The sequence below is a fragment of the Homo sapiens genome, chromosome 7 (genome assembly GCF_000001405.40).
Source record: "Homo sapiens chromosome 7, GRCh38.p14 Primary Assembly".
In the NCBI taxonomy this organism is placed as follows: Eukaryota; Metazoa; Chordata; class Mammalia; order Primates; family Hominidae; genus Homo; species Homo sapiens.
In genome coordinates this window covers 136,315,985-136,336,660 of record NC_000007.14, presented here as the reverse complement: position 1 = coordinate 136,336,660, position 20,676 = coordinate 136,315,985, and the positions used below count along the sequence as shown (strand labels likewise).

The 20,676-nt window shown below is 37.1% G+C and overlaps 1 long non-coding RNA gene across 7 annotated transcripts in view; it reads right to left on the bottom strand.

Annotated features, from left to right (window-relative positions):
• LOC105375523 (uncharacterized) overlaps positions 1-20,676 on the bottom strand; it is a 459,019-nt gene that overhangs the window by 103,305 nt on the left and 335,038 nt on the right. For all 7 annotated transcript variants that reach the window (NR_187960.1, NR_187957.1, NR_187964.1 and 4 more), the window contains one exon: positions 7,564-7,679. This is a non-coding gene — a long non-coding RNA (uncharacterized LOC105375523). The remainder of the gene's footprint in view (positions 1-7,563; positions 7,680-20,676) is intronic.

Genomic DNA, 20,676 nt, shown 5'->3' with positions numbered 1-20,676 from the left:
CTTCTTCCCACAGCTACTAATATTGCATTCCTCTGTTTTAATGTGATTTTCTAAAATTACCAGTTAATTAATCCTAGATTTGGCATGTTGACATCCTTCATTTCTCTACTTTGAGTAATTTGTAAACCCTGAAATAAAGAGCATTTCTCTCGGAACTTTTTGAAAATATATCAGATGTGCTTAGATGTGACACCATAGATCCTAGGAGGCCCGTTATTATTATTATTATTCTCTTCTCACTTGAGAAGCAGCCCCATTATTTTATGTACTAACCAGAAGGAAAAACATTGCTTTATTAAACTATGATACAGTATAGTCTCACCACTTAGAATTCTGCGCAAATTGGAAAGCTCTCTTATATGTATTTAGACACTTATTTTTATAATTTATTATCATTGTACACACATGAAACAAAACCATAGATGAAATATATTGGTTAATGCAGTAGTCACCAACCTTTTTGGCATCAGGGACCAGTTTCACGGAAGACAATTTTTCCAGACCCTGGGAAGTTGGCGATGATATTTTTGGGATGATTCGAGGGCATTACCTTTACTGAGCACTTTATTTCTATTATTGTTACTTTGTAACATAGAATGAAATAATTATACAACTCGCCATAATGTAGAATCAGTGGGAGCCCTGAGCTTGTTTTCCCACAACTGTTAATAAACTACCCCACCTGGGGGTGATGGGAGACAGTCACAGATCATCAGGCAATTGATTCTCACAGGAGCACACAACCTAGATCCCTCACATGCACACTTCACAATAGGGTTTGCATTCCTATGGGAATTTAATGTTGTCACTGATCTAACAGGGGGCAGAGCTTAGGTGATAATATGAGCAATGGAGAGCAGCTGTAAATACAGATGAAGCTTCGCTCACTGGCCCACCGTTCACCTCCTGCTGTGCAGCCTGGTTCCTAACAGGCCACGGATCAGTACCAGTCGATGGCCCACGGGTTGGGCACCTCAGGTTAATATATATTCCTAAAACTTCATGATCATAGTTTGACACTTTTGTGATTACTTTCGAACTCAGTATCATTAATGTCTATATTGTTGATACAATATTCCTTTAAAAACTTTACAAAAAGAACTAAAATCCTTTGGGGCTAAGCCTTGAGCAATCATCAAGAGCTAGAATAACTCCCTTTCTCTGCAATCATTTGGTTCCTAGGAGCTAAAAGAGTGTCCCACTGTTTTCTCCAGGATTGTCTTCTGGGCAGCTGTCAGTCATTCTGCAACTTTTTATGATGATGCTTTTGCTGTTTTCACAACTCAGGCAATGTCAACTGTACCACACTGGCCTAGCCATCAGCAATTGCTCGATGGTATTTATTGTAAAATATAGCCTAACACAGAGATGTTAAAATTTGCACCTTGGAATCCATCAAATATAGTATGTGGTCATTGAACTATCTGAGTTGGAAATCTGTTTCCTGAATTGAGAAGGCTCACTCTTCTGGATTCTCACCTCAACTGAGAATTGAAACCCAGAGTTTTTCTATCCTGGCTTCTTGGCAGCTGTCTTGAGTTGTTTGGGAGATTTTTTCAGGAAGCTTCCACCCCTAAATTTGTCATCTAAAATTTGAAGAAGATACTCATTTGGTTAAGTCTTAAGCTACCTGTGGATAATTTAGAGCTTGGAAGTAGTCTCATAATATACCTTTCCAGAGGTTGATAAAGTGTACAAGGGAAACGAAGTTTCACAGTGTGAGTGCATGGTCAGAACAAGTCTAGATCGCAATCTCTCAGCCTCCCCACCCCCAGGAGATCAGGCATCCACATGAGGTACTGCTATGTGGAGGTGAGGCAAAGAGCAAATGCAACACTAGGCACAGAAGGAGACATGGGAGAAGTTGGGTAGTACATAAAACAGACTACTTCATGTATTCCTTCAACCAGTCAATCAATCAGACAGCAAACATTTATAAAACCTCTAATAAATGTCAGATGTGTAAACTTTGTGTGCTTCCTCCAATTTTGACCCATATTTGTCTTGGATCAAAGACACAGACTGCTGCCCCAATACTCCATGGTAGCTATTCTTTCTTACAAATCTTATGTTTTGATGTTTTAAGGATAGAAAGACTAAAATAGCCTATGATCAAATATTGTCCCCCATCCCTCACCTACATCAACAAAACGTTTATTAGAACAAATTATTATACATACCAGAATGCACAGTATACCCATGTTTATTCAGCTCTAGCTTTAAAGGTCTTAAACTTGCAGTTCTCAGAATTTTAGTGGCATTGCAAGCTTTCAACCAAATTAAATTTGCATCACAATACATGTAGATCTTCCACTACAGGACAAACACAGCTTATATTAATAGGAATTAAGGTTATTCATCCAAACAACTGAAAGTTGCCCTGGTTTATCTCTAAAAGACTTTGATGGGTATCCTTTCATCTAGTTATTTCTTCTAGAAATGACCCAGCACTGAAAAATCAGGCACTTTGTTATTTTTCTTCAGCCAGCCCAGAAACTAGGTTACTGCTTCCCAAGCACCAAATGAGAAATACCCACTGATTTTTTTTTTTTTTAAAGAAATGCTTCTTGCTTCCCTTCAGTGTAGTTGTATAAATCATTGGTGCTGTGCTGGATATAGGCCACCTCTATAGCCTGCTGAACAAACGGTTAGAAGCAGCATAGGGTGTGTGGGGTTTGCTGTGAAGTGAGCCCCTGCTCACTGTGCAAGCGAAGAAACTGTGATTTGTCTGTTTTGCTCTCCTGCACTCTGGCCACTTGTTAACTTGCTAAGGCCAGCATTCATGTCATTTTATTGTTTTAGGCCCTGGCCAGACATGCTTGCTTGGTGCCTGCTTGGCTCACCATGCATGGTTGCATGGTTGACAATCAGGCCCTTCTCTGACCCCCAGTCATCTCTTTGAAGTCCTCTCCATGTAGCCTCTCTGAATCATTTTTGCCTTGAAGTCCTCTCTGTTTCATTTTGTTATATTGAAACAGTCTAAAATAGTTAAATGAGTACTCAGTTTATTTGTGTTTGAAGCAATCATTAAAAGTTCTATCTGCACTTTCAATTGGAACTTTTAAAATATCCTATGGACAGTCATTTTTTTTAACTTAATTTTTGTTTTCAACTATACTAGACCTAGAAACTGGAAGACGGGATCCCGAGTTGGTGGAGGAGGCTGAGACAGAGTAGGAATGTGGGCAGTACTGCCCAGAGGCTGTCACTAGGTGGACTGTTGGTGATCCACACATTCAGGATGCTCACCAACTTGGGGGAGACTGAGATGCCCACTTCTATTGACCTTAGAAAGTTAAGGTTGACCCCTCAGTGAGTTGACAGGATCCCATCAAGGTAGTTGATGCAAGTAGTCAATTACCACAGCCATTTTTATGGCAAAGATAAAGACAGGATATATTTCCCAGGCTGTTTAAAAACTGAAATCAACAAAGGTGTGTTAACCTTTGACCAATATCCACATATACAAAGTAGTTTTGAGGTACATTAATTATGATCTCATCAATCTAGGGAATATGTTAAATATAAGATTACAAAGTTTTTGACAAGCATTCTCACCCAGCAGTTTTTGCAGTAATCATCCTATTCATTTGATGCCAAAGAAATGGCTGGACAAAGGTACTTGGTACCACATCCTACGGATTATTTGCCAACTGCTGGGTTCTGTGTGCAAAGGCTTATGGTCAAGAAATTAAATTCCTTTGACAAAAGAGAAGATATAAAAACACTCCTAGAGTAAATACCCACACTGAGAGTACATATCTAAATCCTGCAAGGCTGGCTGAGTTCTAATTTTATTGTCTTCTACTACCTTTAAAGTGGGGCAGGGGGTATTTATTATTTCAGTTTATGTGCAAACTGTAATCCCAATATGAAATCAAGTAAAGCCATTTAAAAATCAAAGTTAATGTTAACAAGATGATCTATTTCATCCCGCCTAATAGAAGCTAATGAATCATTGTGAATTTATTGTGGTAGAAAGACAGTGGATGCTGGCAATTATACTGATGAGCAGAAATCCTCACAAGTGGGCACTTTAAAGCAATTATTTTCCATTTGTTTCTAAAAAAGCGTCTGAGTACAACTAAGCTTTGATTACCTGGCATCTGAAAATATACATTCTCAGAGGGGTATTTGCAATGATTATTTTAGTGGAAAGAAAGTAAACAGCTACTGTTTGTGAAAGCTCGGTTGTGAGCCTCTTTAAAGTTTAAAATACGAATTGTGCAAAGATGAAGCTCTGACTTAATGGACTAGCACATTATTACATTATGTTCCCAACTGGAAAGAATCAATAGCTTATTGGGTACCTGAGTATTAGAGAGCTGATTGAAATACATTTTCTCAAGAACAAACCTCTTCAAACTCAAAAGCCAATGTCATTTTTGCTAGCAGGCTATCCAGTCCCAAGCTGACTTATTCCTCTATTTTTTCTTATTATTCCTGTACTTTTTTTTCCTCTTGGCCCCAGGTTTATGAAGGGGTGAATCAAAGAATGACTGTTGATACAGAGCTTGCCTTGTATAAACATTGGCTGCTTCGAGAGAGGCAAGTCAAAGGCCATCCAAAGAAGGAATCAAGGGGAGAAAACAATTAATTTATTTTTCAAGTACAGAAATACTGGGGGGTTCTTACAAAGGGGATTGTCCCATTTCTGTCTAATTTAAGTTTATTGGTGCACAGTGGAAGTCAAAAGGCCACACTCTTTAAAAAAGTGAGAAATATGGACCAATGAGAGGTTAAAGGCTACAAGAAAATAAGTGTTCACATTGTAAACTCAGCTAATAACTCCAGGTCTGGAGATAATGGGCACAAACCCAGATGGACAACATCAACTTGCTCCCTTGTCTTGGGTATAATTTTTCCCTAAATGGGAGAAATATTTTTAAGGGCTATTAATGTAATTCAGTGGCTGAAATGAAGACAAGTAAATGAGGGATGTACTGGACTGTGTAACCAGAAGTCGGCAAAACAAAAATCATTTTTGTAACTTAGGTGGAGTTCCAACAAAACTGGGTGAGCTGTAATGTTCCCCCTCACAAAAGGGGTCACTTGCCCAAGTTCCCACAACTAACAAACTGAGAATTTAAACTAGCTGTTTAGTATCTATCTGTGTTTCGTTCTCAATATGAAAATAGCACAAATTCATTTTGGAGAAAGTACGAGGTAGAAAAAATATTCAAACTACTTAAAAATCATACTCCAACTCCTAGAGAAATTGTTAAAATGTTTGCATAATTTCTTGCATTTTCTACATATTGCTTTCCATACTTGATATCATTTTGTGTTCTTCTTTAACATTTTATCATAAACACTTTCCATATATTTCACAACTCCATGTGAATATCATATAGAATGTCCGCAATTATATCAAATATACAATTTCTTACTTTACCTAGGCAGTTCCTTATGGCTGAGTACTTAGAAAGTCTCGATTTTTTTCACTAGTCTGAATTACCTTACAAAAACACTAGAAATCGAATTTCTGGCCCTACATATACGAGCATCTTTAAAACTCTTTACTCATCTTCCTGAATTACTTTCTCAAAAGGTTAAAACACTGCACTTTTGACCAGGCGTGGTGGCTCAAACCTGTAGTCCCAGCACTTCGGGGGGCCGACGTGGGCAGATCACAAGGTCAGGAGATCGAGACCATCCTGGCTAATATGGTGAAACCCCGTCTGTACTAAAAATGTAAAAATTAAGCTGGGTGTGCTGGTGGGCGCCTGTAGTCCCAGCTACTCGGGAGGCTGAGGCAGGAGAATGGCGTGAACCCAGGAGGTGGAGGTTGCAGTGAGCCGAGATTGCGCCAGTTCACTCCAGCCTGGGTGACAGAGCAACACTCCATCTCAAAAAAAAAAAAAAAAAAAAATTGCACTTTTCCACTGTCTCTGGAGCACCCACTTCATGACACTTGCCAACACTGGGTATTCCCTTTTAAAACAGCTTTTTATATTTAATTAATATAATTAAAATCTTATTTTTGTTTGTAAGCTTTGGTCATGTAATAAGCCAAATATTTTCCCAATGGTTATGACTTATTTGCATTATCTCTTTGGTGAAGTAAGCATGCATGATCTTTGCCCATTTATCTATTGGAGTCTCAGGGTTTTTCTCATTGATTTTTAAGACCATGTCTGTCATGTTTGGTGCTGGAACTCTGGCACTGAATGTGACAAAATAAAAATTCATTTAATTACTTCTTTATAAATTAATATTACGCATTTTAATGTTTGTTGTAATTATTTTTCTTTGCCGTCTTTTAGTTTAACGCATACAGTTTAAACCCTTGAAATCTGTTGAATCTCTGTCCTTTCTTTAGCAAATTCTTCCATTTGATTGAAGTATAGGAGGTCTTACCTAACGTATAACTCAGATAAACAAACACTCAGAGCTTCCTTTTAGGCATTTCATGGCTTAATATTTATAAGTGCATAATGATCTGGAATTTATTTTAATATGGGATACAGTTATAGGCAACATGTTTATTTAAAAATGACCTAAACCCACTTGTTAAATAATCTTTCTCTTCCCCAAAGATTTTTTAGTAAATCGTTTTCACATATTTAGTTTATATATGTACTAAAACACCCTTTTGGTATTTTTCTGTTTCTTTGAGCTTTCTGAAGATGCTTATGTTTGTATCATATTGAATAATATAACTTTATACTATTTTAATATCTTGCAGCAATAATTTACCTCCTTACCTTTTTCATACTGAATAATGATATATTTTTGTCTATATATTTTTCCACATAATTCCATTTATATTCTCATCTATATATTTTATATATAATTTTAAAAATATATTTTAAAAATAAATATTTTAAATTTGATTAGAGGAATTTGTACACACATTATTAAAAAAAAGAAAGATGAGAACAAGGAAAACGGGAGAACCCTAATGAAATGCAATCCTCTCTCAATTCACCTTTCTCACTCCTATTCTCCGTTCAAGACTCTAAATAATATGTTTATGCAAATATATTTTAAAATGTATCCATTTCAAACATTATCTGCTTCAACTAAACAAGACAGGATTCAACTGCACAACACTAAAAATCCTTCTTCTATTCCTTCTACTAGAGTTAAATCACTATTACAATATATATCTCTGTTACCTTTGTAACTTTAAATCACATATTTTAATATTTATTTTTTGATTGAACAACTAGAGATTTTCTCTGGATTTCTAGCTTTATACAGCACATGGTTTAGAGTTCCTATCTATTTCATCACCTGTCTTCCCTCTCTCTACCACTTGATTTTTTTCATCTGAACATTTATGTTATATTGCATAGTTTGACACCATTTATGTTCTTGTTCTGCAATCACAGTTGTATAAACCTTCACTAACTTACACTATGATTCCAGAAGACTCAGTAACTACAACCGTTCCAGTAGTTCTTCCCGTTCACCCAATAAAAAGACAAATGGAATGTTTTACCTTAAAGCTTTAAGATAATGTAGTGTGTCCTCTCTCACTAGACAACGTGGCCCCCTACAAGAGCTTCTTCTGTGTACCCTGTATTTACAGAGTCCTAGTGGACTGCTGACTCTTACCTATAAATTCTAAAGAGGAAGAAATGAGGTGCTGGTCACTTTGATGAAGGAGCAAATTCGAGTTGGCTGTGCTGGGATTGGTCAGCATTTTCAATTTGTTGGGATGTGAGTACATCCTGCAGAAAAGAAGAGAAAAAGATAGAGAATGAATCAGGTATTGTTTAATGAAAAGGGGTTAAGAAAAAATCAAGCAACTAACAGAAATAGAGATGCATTTGTCATCTCCAGAGAGTTTCAACTGAGGGATCCCCAGTGATGGGAGCCTCTGAAGAACCCGTGTAAAAGCTTCCCACCAGAAAAAAAAAAGTGAGCTTTCATCACCTGCAAGTCTAGAAAGCACAGGAGCTACATCACAACCACACCAGAGGGAAATTTCCTGCCCCTTCCCTCTTCTCTCTCCCACTGTTCTGATCTTTGAGAAGTAGAAACCAGCCATCAAGATAAGGGAGAAGAGAAAAAAGAGAAGCTTTAACATTAAAGCAAAATTGAAATTTTGAATATTATATGAGATTAGACCTTGAAATACTGAGTCCATGTCTTATGAGTTACAATGACAGAAAAACTCTATTCCATAAAAGTGACCACAAACTGCCACACTTTTCATCCAGGAAGGGAAATAACTCTAAAGAGTAATTTCAATGGAAAGAGAAAGAGGGGAAAAGATTGCTTCATGATCACTTGCTATCAGCTGTGCTTGTTGAAAACAATGTCTGTATAAGGTTAAAGACAGGAATGGGAGAGTAAAGGCCATCTCAAGCCAATTTCAGCCAATTCAAGAAAATAACATTTCAGCCAATTTCAGCCAATTCGAGCCTGAGAACTCTGTGTTTCTCATTTTGAAATTTATCATATCTTAGTATCTGCATTATTTCAAGTGTATATGTAGGACCCTATATGAGAAATAAATGTAATTTTAAAAGGTTGTATGTAAATATATTTTAAGTAAATAATAATGTCTTCCTCTAGTTTCATTAAATTTACTTTAGCTTCATTTCTGATATTTTTCAGATGACCAAGGATTTCAAGTTTCTATATCCTTTGAGCAAATGTTGGTTCATATAAAAGCCATTACTGAAAATTTACCAGAGAAGCAAATAATATGGTAATTCACTGTGTTTTTGTTTTGGCCCAAATATTTAGTTCTATATATTTCTTTCACAATCTTTTATAATGGAATTCCATACATGGACTTTTTAAATCCACATATAATTATTCACGTCCACTATTTCTCTCAATCAATAGTGTCTACAGGAAAGCATATTATATGGTGTGCCCAAGACTTGTTAAGTATTGCTAGAGAATATATGACCATTTGTTGGCTGGAAACACAAGCAGTCACCTTGGCAGTAAAATGACAATCAAAAATACCATTTTCCTTTTAAGTTTCTATAGTTTATAGACTCATTATCCTCTGGCCTCTGATCATCTCTTTCTAGCCTTCCCTTAACAGTTTGCTTATTAGTTTCTGCTTCTCAAAAGGGATCTAAGGCACCTTAAAATAAAATTCATGTATATAACAAAGTTCTGGAAAAAATAACATATCAAAGATATAAGAAGAGCAAAAGAAAGCAAAATGCTAAGAATGAGGTTTGATATAATTATTGTGATTGCCTATTCAATTTTGCTCTACATTTCCTCAGAGGCAAGAAAATGAGTATGTTGAATATTTCAAGTTATTTGTTTGAAGAAAGCAAACCAATTTTAAGAGAGAAAAAGAAATAGATACAGAAAGTCAGAAAGAGAGCTAGAGAGAAAAATGGGCACATACACTTCTCCCTTGGTTATAAATTCAAAATAGATTTATCAAATGACACTGTATACACAGAATGATGGACAGTTTGTCTTTGACCAAAATTATCTACCAGATACAAACAAAACCAAAGATATAACACTTAAATTTAATTCTGTGAAGGTGATTGTTCAGAAGATAACTTAGTGTAAAACAACTATATAACTTTCTAGTGCTCTTTCCAACTCAAGATAGAGGTGATTACCCAGAGAGCTGAGTGGATACCATGTTTCACAGACTGTTTTACCTACGGGGCACTGCTCTCAGTAGGGTTTTAAGCAGAAGTTGGTTAGCACACTGTTTGAAGTCAAGTGCTTCAGCAAGAGTCTAGGGGTGCATCATTACTTGTTTCAGCAGAGCCATATGTTCAATACCACATTGGTAAGTGGCGATGCTAATGCAGACAGTCTAAAGACCATTTCAATTCATCGTATTCATAAATGGAAGGCCTGCAATCTCCTATGTGTCTCCAAAAATCTATTGATTTCCTTCTAAGCTTTAAGTCAATAAAGGTGCATTAGTCTGACAACAAGGACATATGTTTCCAACACTGTCTTGTGAAAAAGCTCGTAACTTCAAGTCCCCCATGATAAAAAGCCTTTTCTCCAGAAGTAAGTTTATTTCTATTCAAACTTTAGAAGCATAAACATAAATTAGAAATATTTTGGGGGCGTGCTGTACTTTCTCTAAGTTTAAAAAAGGAAAAAAAGCTCTTTGCTATTTCACCATTTCAAAGCTTTTAAGTCAAACCCCCAATGCAACCTGCTTTATTTAAAAAAAAAAAGTTCATTTGTTTTAAAGCATTGTGGTCATGCTAATGTATTTTCAAAATCAATTAAACCTTATCTAAACATCTCAAGAGGGAGGAAGCTTTACTCTATTTTCATCTAAACCACAGACACAAAGCCCTTAGTAAATGCATTTTCATGCTGTGCTGGGAACACGTTACATCCAAGTAAACTGCTTAAATGTCATCCAGCAAAGTGCAAATCCAGCTTATAGTCTGGAGGAATGAATGTTTGAAAGTCTAATACACTCAGATTAATGGTGCGCTGTACTTATATGCAATGATGTTATCATGCCAAGAGACGACGCTAGCCAGACAGACTTGCAGAATAACTTGGAAACCTTGACTGCAAAGTTTCTTGGCTAAAGATGAAACATGTGACCTGTTAGGACTGTCTTTAGTTAAAAAAATTAATCAAAGTCCAGAAAAGTATTTTATGTTATACTCTGAAAGGGGGTCATAATCATGCTTTGACAGCTGAATAAAAGGCAGATAAAACCAAATTGTGTACTAACTTTATCTGATACACACCCAGCTGTCCAAATAGTCCCAGTAGGGATGGGAAAGTAAAAACACAAGCTCACCCAATAGGGTCATCCTAACATAGTGATGACAATTGGCCCAATTAAATCTTTCAAACATTTTCTTCTACTAAAGTCAAAATCTCCCCATTAGCAAAAAGTCATCTCCTCATAGCACATTTACTCTCTGACCATCTTTGACCTGACTGAAATATCTGAGTCATCTTTTGCAAGTCCCTCTCTCACCAAATGAATTCCCAAGCAGCAACAACGTCCCTATTGTATATAGTGCATTGTAATATATACTAAGGAAGAAAAAAAAATAGTTGCAAGACGGATTTATGCACCAAATAACAATCTGGCTGAACAATTGAAAACTTCAGGAATGCCAGCATAAGCATGTGGAAAAAATAATGACTAAAATAAAATATACAAAATGTTGTTATAATGTAGAATTATATTTTCTTTATTTCCCAAAAAAAATGGAAACATTCATTTTGTATAAAAGAGAATACTTTAAAGATTGTCTTACAATATAGTTGGAAGAATAAAAACAAAAATATACAAAACAAGAAAAGAAAGAAACACAAAAGTAGCATATCAACACGTGAGAATGAATATAATATAAAATCCATGCAACACTATTAAGTAAGAAATAACCAAGGGCTGCAGTTTGTTCACAGTGGCTTCCTGAAGGAAGTGATTTTCTGGGCTATGGAAAACAAAGATGTCCTGCAACAGGTCATGATAAATTGATGAGGATACCAGAAAAGCTGGAGCAGATGTAATATGAGTCCGTAAGAATGCTGAGGCTGCAAGAAAGACTATTTCCTATACATTGCAAAAGTATATACCAAAAAAAATGAATTTTTTCAAAAGCAGTTGTAAGGGGCAGGAAAAGCTCTGTGCTAGAAATTAAATGACCTGGATTTTGTGCTAGTCCTGTCACTGTTGTGACTTTGAGTGTTTCACATAAATTCTGTCTTAATTTCCTCATCTGAAAAACGACAATAATTACACATAGCCTCCCACCTTCCTTTGTTATTGTAAAGGTCAAACAATATGATGTTTCTGAATATGAAAATGTAAACTGATACTTGTATGGAAAGGATTTATATGAGGAACATGTTAATTGCAACTGTCAAAATGTCCACATGACCCAGTCCTCAGTTTTAGATGCTCCATATACTCTCCTGATTTAGCCTCATTCAAACTCATGGCTTCAACCAGCACCTAAATCCTGATGGCTTCCAGATCAATATTTCTAACTCAGATTTAACTACTTACTAGATATTTCCATAAAATGATCCAAATGTACTTACAATCAACATGTCCAAAAATGAACTTACTCTCCTCTCTCCTGTAAACTACTCCATACCTGGTATAATCTATCTAAGTGAAATGCAAGGTCAGCATGACTCCAGTCCTGTGTCAAGTCCCACAGCAGCAGAGCCTGAGATGAATATTCATGTGCAGTGACAGAGCAAGAAAGTGCCCCCAGGAGAAATCTCTGATGGAGGAAGGGAAAGAGGAACGGGAAAAGGAAGAAGCCAAGCAACAGTGTGACCTCAGCGAAATTCTAGCCTCAGCTTTATCACACAGAGGAAGTCTGGAATGTACATTACCTCCCTTGGCTCGTGCCACCCCAGAAAGAGAACCCTGGGCTTTCATATTCCTGTGCATACCATTCCTGGCAAAAACCACCTCAGGGTGGAGGGTAGGGGGAACTGATATGGTTTGTCTGTGTTCCCACCCAAATCTCATCTTGAATTGTAGCTCCCATAATCCCCACATGTTGTGGGAGGGACCTGGTGGGAGATAACTGAATCATGGGGGGCAGTTTCCCCCATAGTTCTCATGGTAGTGAATAAGTCTCACGAGATCTAATGGTTTTATAAGGGGTTTCACCTTTTGCTTGGCTCCCATTCTTTCTTGTCTGCTGCCATGTAAGACGTGACTTTCACTTTCTGCCATGATTGTGAGGTCTCCCCAGCCATGTGGAACTGTGAGTCCATTAAACCTCTTTTTAAAAAAATAAATTACCTAGTCTTAGGTATGTCTTTATCAGCAGCATGAGAACAGAATAATACAGGAATGTAAACTTCCAGGTACTTTCCAGGTCACTTTCCTCTGACCACATGAGGAAAGTGGTTCCAGGAGCTGTCAAGCATCTTCCAATGAGGCAAAAGAACACAGAACAAGCTAGGGAGTCCCCCCGGCCCCCCACCACCCCACCACACACACACACAGATCTGGGGAGATCTGAGTATAGTAGCCCCTGAATATCCAACCCAGATACCTATAAGGCATCTTGGAGTCATAGCTCTCATTCATCCCATGCATTGTACCATACTGGTCATGAAGCCCTATAGCGTCTGTTGCTAAGTCCTATATAGATGCAGGATCTCTCTCAACTTGACTCTGACCAGTCCTTTGCTACACTTTGAACCCCTCATTGCTTCTAACTTGAACTTCTGGAAAAACTTGCTACCTTATCACTAAGCCTCCTCGCAAAGCCTCCCTTCATTTATCCTCCAAAAGACAGGCAAACTAATATTTCACAATCAATCAATAAATAAATTTAATGTGTCACTTCTCTATCTAAAATATTTAAGTATCTCCCCATAATTTTCAAGATGAAACCAAAACTCCTTAGCTTCGTACAGCCAGCCAGTCATGTTTTAGCCTCTAACCATCTCTCCAGCTTAACCATTCTCAAAACTGTTTGGTCTCCAGATTACGTACACTCTAAAAGTTTACTAAGGACTCCAAAGAGCCTTGGATTATGTGGTTTTAGTATAACTTTTAATACTGAGTATATTAAAATTTAAAACAGAATAATATTGAAATATACCTATTAATTAATGTTATATATTCATAGAAATAATATATTTTATGAAACACATCTATATTTTCCAAAACAAAACAATAATGAGAAGAATGGCATCATTTTACATTTTTTGCTAATTTCTTTAAGGACTGCCTTAATAGAAAGCAAACAGTGTTAACATAGATTCATTTCCTTTCAAGAGTCATACTGAACATATTGTCTTAGAATAAGGATTTTTTCTTAAAACTACAGTGAACATCATTGCTTGTAAATAAGTATACATATTTGTGTGTGTATGTGTGTGTATATACATATATATAATCTACCATAATGCCTACAGAGTATTCCTTTGTATAAACCTACTATGGTTTATTTAATAAATGTTTTTGGACTTCTCAGCTTTTTCTAATGTTATACTATTGAAAACAAGTATACAAATAGAAAATAACTTACACATGCATTTTTCTGCTTCTATCCATTTCTGTGATTAAGACAAATTTTTAAGAATCTCATTTCTTCTTAATCAAGAAATATGCATATTATTAAACTTTGTCACGTTGCTAAATTGCCAACCAGAAATATTAGATCACCTATGCTTGCCTCTACAACAATGCTTATTTTTCTACATCATTACTAATACTAGGCATTAAAAGTCCTCTTATTCTTTGCCAATTTGGTAGATTAAAATATAGCATCTTATTAAGTGTGACTCTGATTATCAGCAAAAGTATAGGCATATACATAATTTCCCCAAATTGTGTTTCTTCCTTGTAATTTTTCATGCAATGCTTTTGCCAAATAGTTGTATTTGCTTTTTTGTTTCTTTACCAACAAAATCTCTTCTCTCTCACTCTATATCTCTTTCTCTCTCTCTCTCTCTCTCTCTCTCTCATTTATGGGTTTTGCCTTTGGAGTTAGGCTTAGAAATGGCCGGGCACAGTGGCTCACACCTGTAATACCAACACTTTGGGAGGCCGAGGTGGGAAGATCACTTGAGGTCTGGAGTTCAAGACCAGCCTGGCCAACATGGTGAAACCCCATCTCTACTAAAAATACAAAAAATTAGCTGGATGTGGGGGCACACACCTGTAATCCCAGCTACTCAGGAGGCTGAGGCAGGAGAATTGCTTGAACACAGGAGGCAGAAGTTGCAGTGAGCCAAGATCACTCCACTGCACTCCAGCCTGGGTGAAAAAGTGAGACTCCATCTAGAAAAAAAAAAAATTCTGAAGAAGGAATTACCTAACTTTAGGAATGATCAATCCATCATCAAGGGAGTTGTTTAAGGATATGCTGGATGATTTTCTGCTGTTATTTTGTTGAAGAAGTCTATATTTGATCTCTAAAATTGAATAATTATGTAAATAAAAAATTAAAGTAATTTATGAATTGATTAAGAGCAGAAACAAACAGAAGAATCAAAAACAGAAATGAGAGAGGGGCTTCAGGATGGCTGATGAGATGCACCTGGCAGTCCTCCTCCACAGAAAAGAACCAAGATATTAAGTGGATAATTACACTTTAAATGGATCAACTAGGAGGGAATACTGGAGCTCAATAGAGAAGTGATAGGAACAACTAAGGCAATGAAGAAGAGACAAGCAAGGCAGCCTGCTTGGCTAGGATCAGCTGGGGAGAGCTCTCCCAATCAGGGAAACAGTAAATGAAAGACCCCCAGTGGCCCATATTCCCACATGGGCTCCTCCAGTACTAGTCATGGGAGAGCCCTTCCATCCTTGCAGGCCCTGAGACTAACATAGAGATCTACCTGCAGACAGGTGCAATGGCATTACTCCAGACAGTGAGCTCATGCTGGGTTCCGCACACACCGAGTCCCAAGCAGCTACGACATGGTGTCATTTTGAGGGCCCAGCTTCCACCAGGCTGCATCCTTCCCTGGGGCCCCAAAGCCCCTTCATCTGCACATTCCTAAAGCCCCATTGACGTATCCTGCACATAACCACCACCACAGATGGCTGTTACTGCCAGGGCTGAAACACAAGCCATTGGCAGTAACACTGATGCCCCCAGCAGCAAAGCTGCTGAGCATTTTCATGTGCCTGAAGGACAGACTCCCCCACCTCCAGCTGCCACCACTGCTGGCTGCTGCCACTGGGGCCAAAGCACAGGCCACTGGCAGTAACCCTGCCCATCCCAGTAACAGGCTGCCATGCACTTTCACACATCCTGAGGTCAGGCTTCCCTGCCTGCAGCCACAGCTTGGGATCAACGTGCATGCTCCCCAGCCACCTACCTACATTCACTGCCAATGAAAGCACCCCCACCCTCCCTATCAGCAAGGTGCAAAACAGCCACTACTGATTCGACTCAAGCACTTTGCTGTGGGCCTGGGGATTACCCAACCCCTGGCCACCAGAGCCAATGTCCATAGACGCTACTAGGGAGCTTAAGGTCAAGGTCACCCAGCATGGCTCTGCAGCCCTCCTCAGTGTCTGAGCATGGTGTCTGAGGGCTTGAGGACCACCAAGTCCTGTCACCCACCGTTAGCACCCATGCACTCATCCCAGGGACCTGAGGATGGGCTCACCCTGTCTGCCACCACAACTACCTGCATGCATAACCTATAGGCCTGGGTTCTGGTCCATCCAGCGTATCACAACGACTGGCAACACCAGTGTGGACTGCTTGGAAGCCAGAAGGTTATCCCACCACTACTGCTGTATCCCACAGCTGGCCTGCTGCCCAGGGGCCTGTGGACCCACCCACCAGCCTGGTCATCTGCTGGTACTACTGGCATCCAAGAAAACTGCCCATAGGCCCAAGGATTGGCCTGCCTGGATCTGCTAACACTGGTGCCAGCATTGTCCACCTGGTGCCTAAGGATAGGCATACTCACCCGACCAATGCACTCACTAGGGCCTGAGGACTAGCCCAACTGGCATCTTTATCTCCAACAAAACTTTAGTATGGTTTCCACTAATAACTGCACCCTAAGCCACTGAGTAAATCACAGACTTTATTGACACTAATTACAGTCAAATAAATTATACAGAGAATACACTACTGCACACACCCAGAATCAAAGCCAAAGTACCTTACACAACAAATACCATAGATTTAACTTCAAGAAAAAATCTTCTTCTATGAAAGCAAATCCAAAAAATTAGAACAAGTGACTGTTACACCAGATATGCAGATATCAATGTAAGGACACAAGAAACGTGAAAAACTAAAGAAATATGATGCCTCCAATGGAACACAATGATTCTCCAGCAACAGATTCCAAAGAAATAGGAATTTATGAAACCCCAGCAAAAGAATTCAAAATAATGATATTCAAGAAGTTCAGTGAGATATAACAGAAGATAAACCAGTACAAACAAATCAGGAAAACCATATAGGATATGAATGAGAAATTTACAAAAGGTACAAATATCATAAAAAAAAGAACCAAACATAATTCCTAGAATGGAAGAATTCATTAAATAAAATAAAAAATAAATATTTGACAACTTCAACAATAGACTAAATCAAGCAAAAAAAGAATTTCACAACTTCGAAGACAGGTTATTTCTGACTAAAATAACTCAGTCAGATAAAAGTAAAAAGAAAAAAGAATGAACAAAGCCCACATGACATATTGGGACACTATAAAGTGACCAAATATACAAATTTTCAGTGTCCCAGAAGACTAAGAAAAAACAAAAAGGAGGGAAAACCTAGTTAATAAAATAATAGCTGAAAACTTCCCAACTAGAAAGAAATTTAGATATCCAGATACAGAAGCTCAGAGATCCTTAAAAAGATACCATTTTTAAAAAGGTCCCTGTAGTGCATAATAGTTAAACTGTTGAAGGTCAAAACAAAGAAAGAATTCTAAAACTAGCAAGAAAAAAGCATCTAGTCATTTTTAAGGGAAACTAGCAGTGTATTTCTCTGCAGAAACCTTACAGCCTAAGAGGATGAGAGGATGTATTTAAACTGCTGAAAGAAAAAAAAAAAATGACAGCCGAGAATACTACAACTAGCAAAGTTCCCTGCCATAAATGAAAGAGAAATAAAGTCTTTCCCCGACAAGCAAAAACTGACAGAATTAATCACCACTAGATTAGTCCTACAAGAAATGCTTAAGGGAGTCCTATACCTGAATTCAAAGGATTCAAATTCAAAAGGATGATATCTACTATCAAGAAAACACATTAAAGTATAAAACTCACTGATAAAGCAAATACACGAACGAGAAAGAGAAGGAACTTAAATGCTACCATTACAGAAAACCACCAAACCACAATGATAAACAATAACATAGAAAAGAAAGGACCAAAGAATACACACAATATTTGGCAAATAATTAACAAACTGACAGGAACAAAATCTCACATACTTATAGTAACCTTAAATGTAAACAGACTAAATTTTTCACTTAAAAGATACAGACTGGTTGGATGGATTTAAAAATATGATCCAACTATATGATACCTACAATAAACTAATCCCATCTGTAAAGATACATATAGACTGAAAGTAAAGGGATGGAAAAAGATATTGCATGAAAACCTAGAGTGAGCAGGAATAGCTATATTTATATCAGATAAAACAGACTTTAAGTAATAAAGAGTAAAAAAGAAACAAAATAGGTCATATAATAATAAAGGGATCAATTCAGTAAGAGGATATAATAATTCTAAATATATATTCATATAACACTGGAGCACAAGATATATAAAGGAAATATTACTAGATCTAAAGAGAGAAATAGACTCCTATAAAATAACAATGGTAGATTTCAATTCCCCACTCTCAACATCAGACAGATCATCTAGATAGCAAATGAACAAAGAAATATTGGATTTAAACTGGACTTTAGACCAAATGGACCTAACGGGCATTTACAGAACATTTTGTCAAACAGCTACCAAATACACATTCTTCTCATGGCACATGGAACACACTGCAGGACAGGCAATATGCTAGAACACAAAACAAGTCTCAACAAATTTTTAAAAGATCAAAATTATACAAAGTATCTTCCCAGACCAAAGTGGAATCAAACTAGAAATAAGTGCCAACAGGAAATTTGGAAATTGTACAAATACAGGGAAATTAAACAACATGCTCCTGAATGACCATTGGGTCAAAAAAAAAATTAAGACAGAAATCAAAAATTTGTTTTGTTTCTTGAAAAAAATGAAACTGAAACACAACATGCCAAAACCTATTGGATATAGCAAAAGCAGTGCTAAGAGAGCTGTTTAAAGCAATATATGGCTACATCAAGAGTGAATAGATTTCACATAAACAATCTAAAGATCTAAAGATTGTACCTCAAGGAACTTGAATAGCAAGAACAAACCAAACTTAAAATTAGTAGAAAACAAATAAAAATCAGAGCAGAACTAAATGAAACAAAGACTTAAAAAAGCAATAAAAACAATCAACAAAACAAAAAGTTTGTTTTTTAAAAAGACAAAAAACTCATGCTAAAAAATCTCAATAAACTACATGCTGATGGAACATATCTCAAAATAATAAGAGCTATAATGACAAATCAATAGCCAATATCACACTGAATAAGCAAAAGCTGGAAGCATTCCCTTTGAAAATTGGCACAAGACAAGGATGCCTTCTCTCACCACTCCTATTCAATATAGTAGTGGAAGTTCTAGCCAGGGCAATCAGGCAAGAGAAAGAAATAAAGGGTATTCACATAGGAAGAGAGAGGAAGTCAAATTGTCTCTGTTTGCAGATGACATGATTGTATATTTAGAAAACCCCATCATCTCAGTCCCAAAACTCCTTAAGCTGATAAGCAACTTCAGCAAAATCTCAGAATACAAAATCAATGTGCAGAAATCACTAGCATTCCTATACACCAACAATAGACAAGCAGAGAGCCAAATCATGAGTGAACTCCCATTCCTAATTGCTACAAAGAGAATAAAATACCTAGAAATACAACTTACAAGGGAAGTGAAGGAACTCTTGAAGGAGAACTACAAACCACTGCTCAAGGAAATAAGAGAGGACACAAAAAAATGGAAAAACATTCCATCCTCATGGATAGGAAGAATCAATATCGTGAAAATGCCCATATTGCACAAAGTAATTTATAGATTCAATGCTATTCCCATCAAGCTATCACTGACTTTCTTCATAGAATTAGAAAAAAAGTACTTTAAATTTCATGTGGAATCAAAAAAGAGCCCATATAGCCAAGACAATCCTAAGCAAAAAGAACAAAGATGGAGGCATAACGCTACCTGACTTCGAACTATACTACAAGGCTACAGTAAACAAAACAGCATGGTACTTGTACCAAAACAGATATATGAACGAATGGAACAGAATAGAGAACTCAGAAATAAAACCACACATCTACAACCATCTGATCTTCAACAAACCTGACAAAAACAAGCAACAGGGAAAGGGTTCCCTATTTTATAAACAGTGCTGGGAAAACCAGCTAGCCATATGCAGAAAACAGAAACTGGACCCCTTCCTTACACTTTACACAAAAAGAACTCAAGATGGATTGAAGACTTAAATGTAAAATCCAAAACCATAAAAACCCTAGAAGAAAACCTAGGCAATACCATGCAGGACATAGGCGTGGGCAAAGTCTTCATTACTAAAACACCAAAAGCAATTGAAACAAAAACTAAAATTGACAAATGGGATCTAATTAATCTAAAGAGTTCTGTACAGCAAAAGAAACTATCATCAGAGTGAACAGGCAACCTACAGAATGGGAGAAAAATTTTGCAATCTATCCATCTGACAAAGGGCTAATATACAGAATCTACCAGGAACTTGAACAAATTTACAAGAAAAAAAAACAATCCCATCAAAAAGTGGGCGAAGGATATGAACAGACACTTCTCAAAAGAAGACATTTATGTGGCCAACAAACATGGAAAAAAGTTCATCATCACTGGTCATTAGAAAAATACAAATCAAAACCACAATGAGATACCATCTCATGCCAGTTAGAATGGTGATCATTAAAAATTCAGGAAACAACAGATGCTGGCAAGGATGTGGAGAAATAGGAACACTTTTACACTGTTGGTGGGACTGCAAATTAGTTCAACCTTTGTGGAAGGCAGTATGGCGATTCCTCAAGGATCTAGAACCAGAAATACCATTTGACCCAGCAATCCCATTATTGGGTATATACCCAAAGGACTATAAATCATTCTACTATAAAGACACATGCACACATATG